The 12,598-nt window shown below is 42.7% G+C and overlaps 1 protein-coding gene across 57 annotated transcripts in view; it reads right to left on the reverse strand.

The window, feature by feature from the left end:
• The window catches only part of KANSL3 (KAT8 regulatory NSL complex subunit 3), a 57,819-nt gene that overhangs the window by 34,893 nt on the left and 10,328 nt on the right, over positions 1-12,598 (reverse strand). For 42 of the 57 annotated variants that reach the window (NR_146098.2, NR_047657.2, NR_047654.2 and 39 more), the window contains 2 exons: positions 4,286-4,376; positions 3,973-4,158 (listed from right to left, as the gene is read on the reverse strand). The exons of 2 other annotated variants lie outside the window; for them this stretch is intronic. Coding sequence is in view for 40 of the 55 variants with exons in the window: in XM_047445030.1 (XP_047300986.1) it covers positions 3,973-4,158; positions 4,286-4,376 (277 nt within the window). In the remaining 15 variants the exon portion in view is untranslated. Of the gene's footprint in view, positions 1-105; positions 159-3,972; positions 4,159-4,285; positions 4,377-12,535; positions 12,555-12,598 lie in introns of those variants that run through there. 13 more of the 57 variants (NR_047656.2, NR_146100.2, NR_146101.2 and 10 more) reach the window with 6 other exon arrangements.

The following is a 12,598-nucleotide window of genomic DNA, read 5'->3' on the forward strand; positions in this document are numbered from 1 at the left end:
TATACTATATACAGTGTACTTTATCTCATGTCTGTTTTTTACTATCTACCAGAAATGTGACATTACAGATGTGCAAATATAGGTTTCAGACATGTTGATGCTTACACTGAGAAGAAATATCTGCGAATTCCATGCTACCCACAAAAGGTCAAAATGACCTAGGGGAAAGGAAAAATGTTTAAATATTAGAGGCAGTTTTCAGAGAAAGAAAAAGGTTTTGAAAAATTGGAGAATAAAAAGTACTACGGTTTGATGCAAGTTGTAAAACTCCAAAAATAGCAGAAGATAAGTTGCTCTTAATTTAAAAACAGGGACACTAAAAGGATTTCTGTATGAGAAATTAGAGAATTATAACCATTAGACTTTCTCAGTTTAACTCAGGAAAGAAATATTCGTGCAACTGCTTTTACAAGGTACCAGGCTAGTACTGCAGAGGAATTTAATCTACAAGAGGTAAGGAAGACAAACACACAAATAATGGTGGGGGACAGGAATAGGGAAAGACCGATAACTGCCATGAAAGAAACAGAAGCCCAAACTGCTATGATTCAAACCACCCAATGGAGAAGAAGTTAAGAGGCAATTTTCATCTAAAGATACAGCATGTGAAATGAGACAGGCTCTTTGGAACAGGCAGGATTCCAACAGAAGATGAGAGAAAAGCCTTCCCATCAGAGACACCAGCAAGAGGCAAGAATGTGTAGAGCTTATTCCAGGCACAGATGGACAAAAGTCAAGGATGCAAGTAAGGAAGGAGGAGGATGTAAAAAGCCAGTAGGAAGGATAGGACCAAACCGCAAAGGATAAGACCAAACTGCAAAGGATCTTCATGTTCTTTGTAACTCACTCTAGAACTGTGAGCCACTCAACACTTTGAGGCAAAGGATGTGACCCTGGGTTAAGCTTTATCTAACAGTAGTATATAGCTTTGAAACCAAAAAGCCTTGACACTTGCTTCCTGTCAACAAGGGATAAAAAATCAATACTGACTTTTCCACTTGGAGCTGGGAAGACCAAGCTTCCCTGGCCCTTCCAGCATTGCATTCACTCTCAACAGCCAATTAAAAGGCTAAGGTCTATACCTTCTCTGCCCTCTTTATCATAATGGATCTAATAGTGAAAGTAGCTGGGTGAAGAGCATGATCCCATCCACCTGCGCTTTCACATCCAGCAGGCACTTTAAAAGTAAAACAATCCTATAATCATTTATATCCTTTGGGAAACAACCAAAGTATTTGTTGTGAATCTAAATATAGTCATGGGAAAATAAGAGTCCGATGGCAGAGGAACCACTGCGGAGAGCACAGCCCAGAGAGGATGTTGCCTTGAGTCTGAGGCCCTTGCTGACTGGTGTACCAGCGAGCCTTCCACTATTCCAGTCAACCCACACCGTGGCCCAGCAGCATGGGAGGAAAACACCCAACTATGCATGCTATGGAGTCCCCCCAGTGGTCTGCCATGCTCATAATATCCGACATGCACCCAGGAGATGTCCAGTCAGTAACTTAAATAGGGCAGCAGTACAAATTCCTCCTTAAAGGGAAATTATGCTAGCCACAGTGAGTGAAGCAGGGTCACCAGAGAACTGAGACCCTGGCCACTACCAACACTCATCTCCTACAGTGTATTCACCAATGTTACACTTTTACCGTAGGTAGAATGCTGAGGAGAACATATGTGAAGATGCCTACGATACTTCTGGGCCACCACTCTCTGTCTGCCAGGATCCAGTCTGGGCCCCACACTCTACCTGCCCACCACTCACCTCCCGGGTCCAGGGTTTCTACTACAGGGGAGCAGTACAGGGGAAAGTCTGGGACTCCCTTTTCATTTGTCTCTTTCTTCACTAGAAAATACACTCCACCAGAGAAGGGACCAGTTTTGTTTTGCTCACCCCAGTACCTGACACACGTAGGGCCCAAAATAAGTATTAGTTAAACAAAAAAACTAGTGTCAAATTTCCTACCATGAATATCATTAATGTATCTAGTCCTGAGTTTTATTTCAGCACTAAACCAGTCTTCTAACAAACTTGGCACCCTTTAACTTAAAAACACATAAGAAACAATGAGTCTGCAAGTTTTGGGGATGTGGCTGAGGGAACGTGTTGGCCAGGCAACTTACAGCAGCAAGATGAGCCAGCTTCCTGTGAAGCAGAAAGTAAAACTATTAAAAAAAAAAAAAAAAGTGTCAAAAACTGAATCATGCTTATGCCTGTAATCCCAGCAATTTGGGAGGACAAGATGGGAGGACTGCTTGAGGCCAGGAATTCAAGACGAGCCTATAGCAAGACCGTCTCTACAAAAAAATTAAAAATTTAGCTGGGTGTGGCAGGGCACGGCAGCTCACGCCTGTAATCCCAGCACTTTGGGAGGCCGAGGCGGGCGGATCACGAGGTCAGGAGATCGAGACATGGTGAAACCCTATCTCTACTAAAAATACAAAAAAAATTAGCTGGGCGGGGTGGCACACGCCTGTAGTCTCAGCTACTCAGGAGGCTGAGGCAGAATTGCTTCAACCCAGGAGGCAGAAGTTGCAGTGAGCCGAGATCGTGCCACTGCATTCCAGCCTGGGCGACAGAGTGAGACTTTGTCTCAAAAAAAAAAAAAAAAAAAATTTCTTTGCTGGGTGTGGTGGTAGCACACACCTCTAGTCCCAGTACTTGGGAGGCTGAGGCAGACGGATTGCTTGAGCCCAGGAGTTCGAAGTTATAGCAAGCAATGATAGTGCCACTGCACTCCAGCCTGAGTGAGAGAGGAAGATCCTGTCTCCAAAGAAAAAAAAAAAAGGCCTCAGACAACTTGGATTGATTTGGTTCTTTCTCTTCTCTCTCTCTCTCTTTCTTAGAGACAGGGACTCCCTCTGTCACCCAGGCTGGAGTGCAGTGGTGGGACTGAACTCACTACAGCCTCCTCCCACCAGCCTCCTAACTAGCTGGGACTACAGACGTGTGCCACCATGCCTGGCTAATTATTTTATTTTTAGTAGAGACAAGGTCTTGCTATGTTGCTCAGGCTGGTCTCAAACTCCTGAGCTAAAGCGATCCTCCTGCCTCAGCCTCCCGAAGTGCTAGGATAATAGGCATGAGCTACTATGCCCGGCCGTGAGGCCATTTTGTATTGGAGCAAAACACCCCAAATATTTCAAGAACCTATGAGGGTACTACTTAAATAACTGTTAATATTAGTAATAATAATTACTGTGGGCTCACTGCTTACTATGTGCCCAATTTTGTGTTAAGCCCCCTACCTGAATTAACTAATTTAATTTTCATAAAAATCCTAGATAGCTATTATTATCAGCCACATTTTAGAGATGAGACACCAGTCCAAGCTTACACAGCTAATCAGTAACAAAGCTGAGATCAGCCAGGCAATCTGCCTCCAGCATCCGCATTCTACCACATTGACGATAGCCTGATGCAATCACTGGAATCACCAAGAAAAACAGTTTAACTTTGTGCAATACTAAGTAAGAAAGCAGGGAACTATAATGATATGTTTGTACTGAATTATAAAAGTCTAAGTGTTGCTACTAAAGGCTCATGCCCTGGGGAGCAGAATTGAAGGCATCACGGCACGTTCCTGCTCTGCAATCTCCCAGTGCTCCGAGCACCAAGGGTCTGCTTCTGTCACCTTTCTCAACAAACTCTTCCCTGGTAAACCCTTCGTCTCCTTCATGATAATTCAATTCAGCCATGACTCAAACCACAAGCTGCAAGGCTAGGAAGGCTAAATGTATACTCTGGTTTTCAGGCCCCATACCTCATCCTGGAGCCAGCAGGGCTGAAAACGTTTACACCAGACACAAATGTGAAATGATACCCTGTCTCCCAATTTTAGTACCAAACCCATTAGTTTTGGCCATGCACTCCAGACCGACCAGATAATTACTTTGCCTAACCCCACATCCTGAACCCACAGGGGAGGATGGCTATCCCTAGGACAGGGCAGACCCCAATCACAGCCTTACCTTCCCCTTCAGCGTCTGCAAAGCATCCAGGTAGGCTGCCAGCATGGGCAGACTCAAGGTCTCCACAAGGGTGGTGTGCAGCCACTGGATCAGCTTGGTATCCCAGCTCACACTTGCCAGAGCCTGCCGCACTCTCCTTGCACACTTGTCCACAGCAACACGGCGCAGCACTGGCTCATTACAAGCCTGAAGGATGTAAGTGGAAGTAATAAAACATGAGGACTACCTGGTTAACAAGCAGGGGGACAAGTCAGTCAGCCAGTGAGGCCTGAACTACGAAGAGCCCACTGTGGGCGGATTGCTGGTGTCTTACCCCTTCGTTGGCCAAGCGGGCAAGCCGGTCAGACTGCAGGGCTTTGAGGATCTTGTTGAATAGCTTGTTCTGGGCCATTGTCCAGCCAGTCCTATAAGGGAAACTCTGAGGAATTATAGTCAAACCCTGGGGACGCTCCCCATGTATGTACACCATATAAAGAAGATTATGCCATAGTTTTATGTCTCTGCTAGGGAACAGTAAAACGAAGTAGCTTAGTCTAAGACCACTGACCTAAAACACAAGACCTAGATTCTTCTGGTCTCAATCCTACCAAATCAAATCGTCACAGCACACACTTGTATTAATAATACACACATACACACAATAATATACACAGTACAAGTCAAGACTAGTCATGAAAAAAGTCTTTCAGGCTAGCAAAGCTAATTACTTACTTAGTAGCTAAAATTATTCCAATCATAAATAAACGCACAGCACCACTGAACAGACGACATATTTGAATTTCATAAGTTTTATATTTCACACAAAAAGGCAGACAGGATCAGCAAGCATTTTAATGTACTAAAATCTCAGACTGAGGTAAGAATTCTATTTAAACTAGGCTTAAGAACAAAAATATAGCAGAAATATAACCAATAAAGAGGCTATTCTTCCACTCCTCAATATTCTACCCCACACTAATCTCTCTTTTCCATATATATTTTTTGTATTTTTTCTATATGCCACACAATTAGCAAATTTATTTTTGAGAGGCCTGCTCCATATAAGCTAATATGTTATCATCCCAGCATACGGCACTGGTATTCACACATCTACCTTATTGCTTATTGCTTACCTATTACTTACTGAGGCTTTGTGTGTTGCAGACATCTATCCTACTGTTCTTATCTCCACCTCATCACACCCAGTTTAGTGATATGGAGCTTATTATTGTCCCCCTTCACCCCACTCCCAGCAATCTTAATTACTCAGATGCTCTAACTCTGGCTAGTGACCTTCCTAAAGATACCAAAAGAAAGGCAATTGAAGATGCTCTATTAATATGTGTTTTCCTATTCTCCCTGCCTTAAAAAAAAGCTGATGGTGGCCAGGCGCAGTGCTTCACGCCTATAATCCCAGCACTTTGGGAGGCCAAGTGGAGTGGATCGCTTGAGTCCAGGAATTCAAGACCAGTCTGTGCAAATGGCAAAACCCCATCTCTAAAAAAAATACAAAAATTAGCTGGGCATGGTGGTGCGTGCCTGTAGCCCCAGCTACTCGGGAGCCTGAGGTGGGAGAATCGCTTGAGCCCAGGAGGTTGAGGCTGCAGTGAGCCGTGATCATGCCACTGCACTCAAAGCTTCAGTGACAGTGAGGCCTTGTCTCAAAAAAAATAAAAATAAAAATAAAAAATTACCTGGGTGCTACACCCAAATGAGACCCTGGAATGGGATCAAGGTAGCATTTCAAATCAGTCTGGATAAAGTCCCTAAATGTAGGGCTGAGACAACCACAACTGGAAAAAGAAAATCTGATCCCTACATATCATTCTACATCAAATTTCAGATGGAAGAAAAAGAAGACATAAAAGGAAGAAAGAGAAATGTAACTACATAAAAATTTCAAACTTTGGCCAGGAGTCTGTAATCCCAGCACTTTGGGAGGCCAAGGTGGGTGGATCACGAGATCAGGAGTTCAAGACCAGCCTGGCCAATATGGTGAAACCCCATCTCTACTAAAAATACAAAAATTAGCTGGGCGTGGTGGCATGCGCCTGTAGTCCCAGCTACTCCGGAGGCTGAGGCAGAAGAAGCACTTGAATCCAGGAGGCAGAGGTTGCAGTGAGCCGAGATTGCGCCACTGCACTCCAGCCTGGGTGACAGAGTGAGACTCTGTCTTGAAAAAAAAAAAAAAATTCAAACTTTAAGCCAGGCGTGGTAGCATGTGCCTGTAGTTCCAGATACTTGGGAGGCTGAGGCAGGAGGAGTCCAGAAGTTCAAGTCCAGCCAGGGCAACATGTCTCTCAAAAAATAAAAAACAAAAAAAATTTAAAAAGTATAAACAAGGTCAAAACACAATGGGAAAATGACTGCCATTTCATTAAAATAGAAAGAGGCTCTAGAAAATTAATAAGAAAAAGATGAAATACTCAAAGGTCAAAGAACACAAAAAGGCAGGTCACAAAAGAAGTAAAGTCAACTCTACTTCAAAATTAAACAGGCTGGGCGTGGTGGCTCACGCCTGTAATCCCTGCACTTCAGGAGGCCAAGGCAGGCGGATCACAAGGTCAGGAGTTCGAGACCAGCCTGGCCAACACAGTGAAACCCTGTCTCTACTAAAAATACAAAACTTAGCCGGGTGTGGTGGCACACGCCTGTAGTCCCAGCTACTTGGGAGGCCGAGGCAAAAGAATTGCTTGAACCTGGGAGGCGGAGGTTGCAGTGAGCTGAGACAGTGCCATTGCACTCCAGCCTGGGCAACAGAGAGAGACTCCAGCTCAAAAAAAAAAAAAAAATTAAACAAATGCAGCCAGGCAAAGTGGCTCACGCCTATAATCCCAGCACTTTGGGAGGCTGAGGCAGGAGGACAGCTTGGGCTCAGGAGTTTGAGACCAGCTTGGGCAACAAAGTGAGACCTTGTCTACTGAAAATCAAAAAATTAGCCAGGCATAGTGGCAGGTGCCCAAAGTTCCAGCTATTCAGGAGGCTGAGGCTGGAGGATGGCTTGAGTCTAGGATATCAAGGCTGTAGTGAGGTATGATCATGCCACGGGGCGACAGAACAAGACCTCGTCTCAAAAAAAAAAAAAAGAACCAACAAATGCAAATTAATAAAGTATTATTTTTCACCTATCAAATGGGTAAAAATTAAGAATTTAATAATTCTCTGTTGTTGTGAGGGTACAAAAGAACTCTCTCTGTATTCTGTTGATGGAAATATAAATTAGTACAACCTTTTGGAAAAGCCAATTTGGAAAAATTAATTGAAAAACCTAAGTCAGATCATGTCACTCCTTTGCTCAAAGTCCTTCAGTGGCCCCAGTTCAATCAGCTAAAAGCCAAAGTCCTTGCAATGGGCTGCATGGACTCCATGTCTTTCAGATCTTATCATCCATGACTGATCCTCACTTACTTCAGTCACGCCGCCTTCCCTCACAGCACCCTCTACTCCCCTGCCCTTGCACACACAACAGGCATGCTCCTGCATCACAGACCAGGGCCCTGCCCTTCATTACGCCAACCTGAAACAATGGCTCCCTCTCTCATCTCCTTCAGGTTGTTGCTCAAATGTCACCTTCTGCTGAGGCTTGCTCTGACCTATCCCTATTTAACACTGTAACCCTCCAGTCTTACCCTAGGATTCACTAAACTGCTTTCCAGCCATACCACTACCTCATATTCTATCCATGCTATTTATTTGTTTAGTTTGTTTCTCTCTGCCAGGGTGTAAAAGGCCAAGATGGCCAGGACTTTTGCTAGTTTTAAGTGCTATATCCCCAGCACATAAAACAGAGCCTCACAAATACTGGGGAATTAAACATCTGCTGAATAAATAAATGGATGAATTGTGTGCACACTGCATTCTAAGTTCTGTAAACAGCCAGGTCCCTATCCAAACCCTCAGACTCCATACCATATTAATGCGGAGGAGCAAAGAGGAACACAGGCACATGATTTATGTCTTTCGCCATACCAAGACAGTCAAACTGCAAGAATGCTGCTTGAAACATCAACAATCTCAATTTCTCTGGCTTCGTAAGAGACCAGCATCCTTTCCATCATATCCCACCCCACAAGATACTCTAATTTCTACAGGTCATTGTTCTAGGAACACCAACAGTATGGCCCAGTGAGTATGCAGATGGAGGACAAATTACCCTTTGTTATTCACTTTGTACAACTATCTAAATGTCCCTGGATAGAGCAAATACCCTCTAGAAAGGAGGAAAACAATGGTCCAACTCCTTTTCCTTCTGTAAAATAAAATCTCCACCTACCACATCTCCAGTTTTACAACTTAACCACAGTTACAGGATCCAGGAGAACCCTACCTAGGGACAAGGGTTCTATCCCACCCTCTAATAAAGAGCTATGTGCCCTGAGTCTTCTTGTCCATAAAATAGATACAGCTAGATTACCTCTAAGTTCCTTCTAACAATAAAAAAAAATTCAGGTTAGCTATGATTACTGACAGCAGCAAAAGTTGAGAGCAGTCGAAATCCGAGATTAGAGAAACAAAATGGGATGACTGTCTTCTTCAGAAGCGCCCTCCATCTTCAGAAGCTTTCCTTGCTAGAGCTAAATCCCCTCTTAACTGCCAAAGCCACCCATCCTTTTGTAACCCCCTTTTGGGGGTACTAGAAGCAGTCTGAGGTTTCTTGGAATTGTCCTGTTTCTTATTCCTCCCTAGTTATCTTGGCTTAATCTCTGCTACTTCATCAGGATCCAGTTTTTGTGGTTTGATATTCAGAGATTCTGGACTTCAAAGCTGAAGGGATGAAAGCCTCAACTCAATGTTGGGACTCAGGATGCCTTGGAACTGGGAAGGTTTGTTGAGACCGGAAGCTCCAGCCCCACTGGTTCATTATCCTGTTTTCTGTCCATTACTTAGATGCACAGCAGACTCACAAGAGTAGTAGCTCTCTTATGTACAGTGATTCTCAGGTGGGCTTGAGAATTTGATGGTGGTAGGAGGAGACAGAGGATGCTTACAAGTCATTTGAAAAAGCTCTCTGGAAACATGGATATATCTCCATGTTAATACACCTCTTTGTTTTCAAAGGCTAAGTAAGTTCTACCTTATTTGTGGACATTTAGGTTGTGCATTTTTTATTGCAATTTATAAGCCACTGCAGTGACCACCCCTCCCTTCCTCAAATATATACATACATATCTATCTATATTTTATTATTAATTCTTCTTGTTGTTGAGACAGTCTTGCTCTGTCGTCCAGGCTGGAGCGCAATGGCGTGATCTCGGCTCACTGTAACCTCTGCCTCCCAGGTTCAAGTGATTCTCCTGCCTCAGCCTCCAGAGTAGCTAGGACTACAGGTGCCCGCCACCACGCCCAGCTAATTTTTATATTTTTAGTAGAGGCGAGGTTTCACCATGTTGGCCAGGCCGGTCTCAAACTCCTGACCTCAAGTGATCTGCCCACCTCAGCCTCCCAAAGTGCTGGGATTACAGGTATGAAGTCACCATGCCCAGCCCTATCTATCTATATTTTATATACTCATACAAGTATCTCTGTAGGATAATTTTCTTCAAATGGAAATAACCAAAGGCTATCTGTGTTATAATCTCTGGATAAGGCCAGGAATGGTGGCTCATGCCTGTAATCCCAGCACTTTGGGAGGCCAAGGAGGGCGGATCACCTGAGGTCAGAAAGGAGGTCAAGACCAGCGTGGCTAACATGGCGAAACCCCGTCTCTACTAAAAATATAAAACTTAGCTGGGCATGGTGGTACGAGCCTGTAACCCCAGCTACTCGGGAGGCTGAGAGAGGAGAATCGCCTGAACCCAGGAGGCAGAGGTTGCAGTTAGCTGGGATCGCCCCACTGTACTCCAGCCTGGGTGACAGAATGAGACTCCATCTCAAAAACAAAACAAAACCAAAAAAACAAAAATCTCTAGATTTCCAGTTCTTTGAAAGTAATAGGTATAAAGGACCTGTAGCATCTTGAAAGTAGTAGTATACTGCAGCCTTACCTCTAGCAATCATGCTAATTTATAATCAACCAGGTTAAGCAACGAATACAATTTTTCATGTTCAACAATCTCTGGAGCTTTCTCAAAGCCTATTGATCACGTTGCAAACTTTAATTCCAACAACAGAGAATAAGGTATAATTTATTTATGAAATATCAACAGCATTTCCAAAATTATCCTGTTTTTATTACATAATGATGCTTTCCCTATTTGTTTTTCTTACTCTGTATTAATTCTGCAATCCAAAATTATGGGAGTAAGGAAAATGATGTGAATGCAAGATGCAGAGGGTTAGAAAGCTATTTAGAAATTATTACCATACACCAATGACAGCTGAAATTAAATTTTAAAACCACAACGTTGAGAGTCCAAAATCCCAGAAAAAGTTCTTAGGATTGCTGCTGGATATATAACAAAGTGACTCCAAGAATTGAAACATGATCTCTATATTTTGTCAGCTTCGTGGGAGGCTAGAAAATTAAGTGGGCAGAAAAAAAATGATCTAAACCAAGATTAAGATAAAGAGCATGCAAGAGATATAATTAGCAAAAATTTTAAAAACAGGAGACAGAATTTTAAATACAAGCCTAAACAGTCAAATAGCTGATGGGAACTGTGGTGAGCCAACTGGCACTCCCCACCCCGTGCCCCACCCGCCTATTCAATTTTCATGAGGGCAAAAATGTCTTTTCTTCCTTTCTTAGATGAGATCAGAAAATCTTTTGTTCTCCCTGCTCTGACTGAACCTGAATGATATGCTGACCTCTGGCTCATTCTATTCAAAGCAGCCAAAATATAACATTGGTCCTGAAAATATCTGGTATTTTCAAAGGTAATCATTATTTTGGATACTGTTTCAAAGAAGACTAATTAATTCAACATTAAAATATCTAAAGGATTTTTTTTTAACCAGAAGTCAAACAAGGAGACACAAAGTACATCAGATAAACTCAACAGTCATACTTTCCTTTTTCAGATTATAAAATTCTTTGTCTAAACACTAGAAGAAGGGAAGGAATGAAGGAAGGGGAAATAAAGAGGGTGGGGGAGGGGAAGGAGGGACGATAACTCAAAGACCTTGGACTTAAAATTTCAAACATCCAACCTAAGATTTATACAGATACATACAATATTGAATATAAAACTAAAGAAGGCTCAGAAAAGGAAAATGGGGTGTTTTTGGCTGGAATTCAGAAGTTCTGATTTCTAAGATAAGAAAGCCTGCTTTTGGATACTACTACATTCTTTCACTAAAATGTTGGAAATGTCCTAAAATCCATTTGAGCAATTCTGAGAAGTATCATGTGTCAGGAAAATTTTATTAAATGTCTTTCAAAAGCTATGCAACTAATGAAACTTCACATTTGACAAACATCTGGAGGGAAAAAAAAGCTGGCCCAACATCTTCAGGACTACATCACTATGCCAGCAAATAGAAATCATTTTCAAAGGTCCTCTAAGTCACATGCCATGGCACGCAGACACAAGAACATGACCCAGGAAGCTCACTTTTTCTATAAGAGGCCGGACAGAAAATGTTTTAGGGTTTCCAGGCCATATGGCTTCTGCCACTATTCAATTTTGTGGCTTTACTGCAAAAGCAGCCATGGATAATACCTAATGAATATGACTGTATCTCAATAAAAGCTTATGCACACCGAAATTTTAATTTCATGTGTCATGAAACAGTATTAATTTTTTTGCAACTATTTAAAAATGTAAAAATCATTCCACACAAAAACAAGCAATGGGCCAAATTTAAATCAGCCCACTGTCATAGTTAGACAACCACTAATGCAGACAATTAAATAAGGTAGTAATATTTAAACCATTTCACAAAATATCAGCCATTAATAAAGAAAGCCAGAGTCAGGGGCAGGGAAGGGAGGAACATGCTTCTTTTTTTTTTTTGAGACGGAGTCTTGCTCTGTTGCCCGGGCTGGAGTGCAGTGGCACGATCTCGGCTCACTGCAACCTCTGCCTTCCAGGTTCAAGAGATTCTCCTGCCTCAGCCTCCCGAGTAGCTGAGATTACAGGCGTTTGCCACCACACCAGCTAATTTTTACTATTTTTAGTAGAGACGGGGTTTCACTATGTTGGTCAGGCTGGTCTCAAACTCCTCACCTCAAATTATCTTCCCGCCTCAGCCTCCCAAAGTGCTGGGATTACAGGCGAGAGCTACTGCGCCTAGCCTATATACACAAAGCTATCTGAAGACAGTTTCTACTGAAATCATTCAAGAGAGAGGAAAAAAGCTCTTAACAAGGAAATTAAGTTTCTGCCTCCACAGACAAAGAGCAATCAGTAAACTCTCCGGGAAAGAACTCCAGAGTTCTAGGGAGCCGACCTACACCGTTCATGGAGCTCTTGATGTGGCAAACTAATTTTACATGACTTTATATAAGAAGAAAGGAAGCAGCAATTTAACAATCAAGTCAGGGAAAGAATGGCAACACGATGATTATAATCAGAGCAGAAGGAACTGCAAGCTCCAAACAGGCTACAGATTCAGGGACAGGGTCATAAAATGGTGGTATCTGAAACTGAAACTAATAAGTTATCATAAATAATAAAATCGGCTATGTACAAAAGTTACCTACCAAAAGAGATGGTGTGTAAGCCTGCTGCCAATGAGAGAAGGCCTCCAAAATCTCATCAGACAC

Source organism: Homo sapiens, chromosome 2 (assembly GCF_000001405.40).
Source record: "Homo sapiens chromosome 2, GRCh38.p14 Primary Assembly".
Classification (NCBI taxonomy): Eukaryota; Metazoa; Chordata; class Mammalia; order Primates; family Hominidae; genus Homo; species Homo sapiens.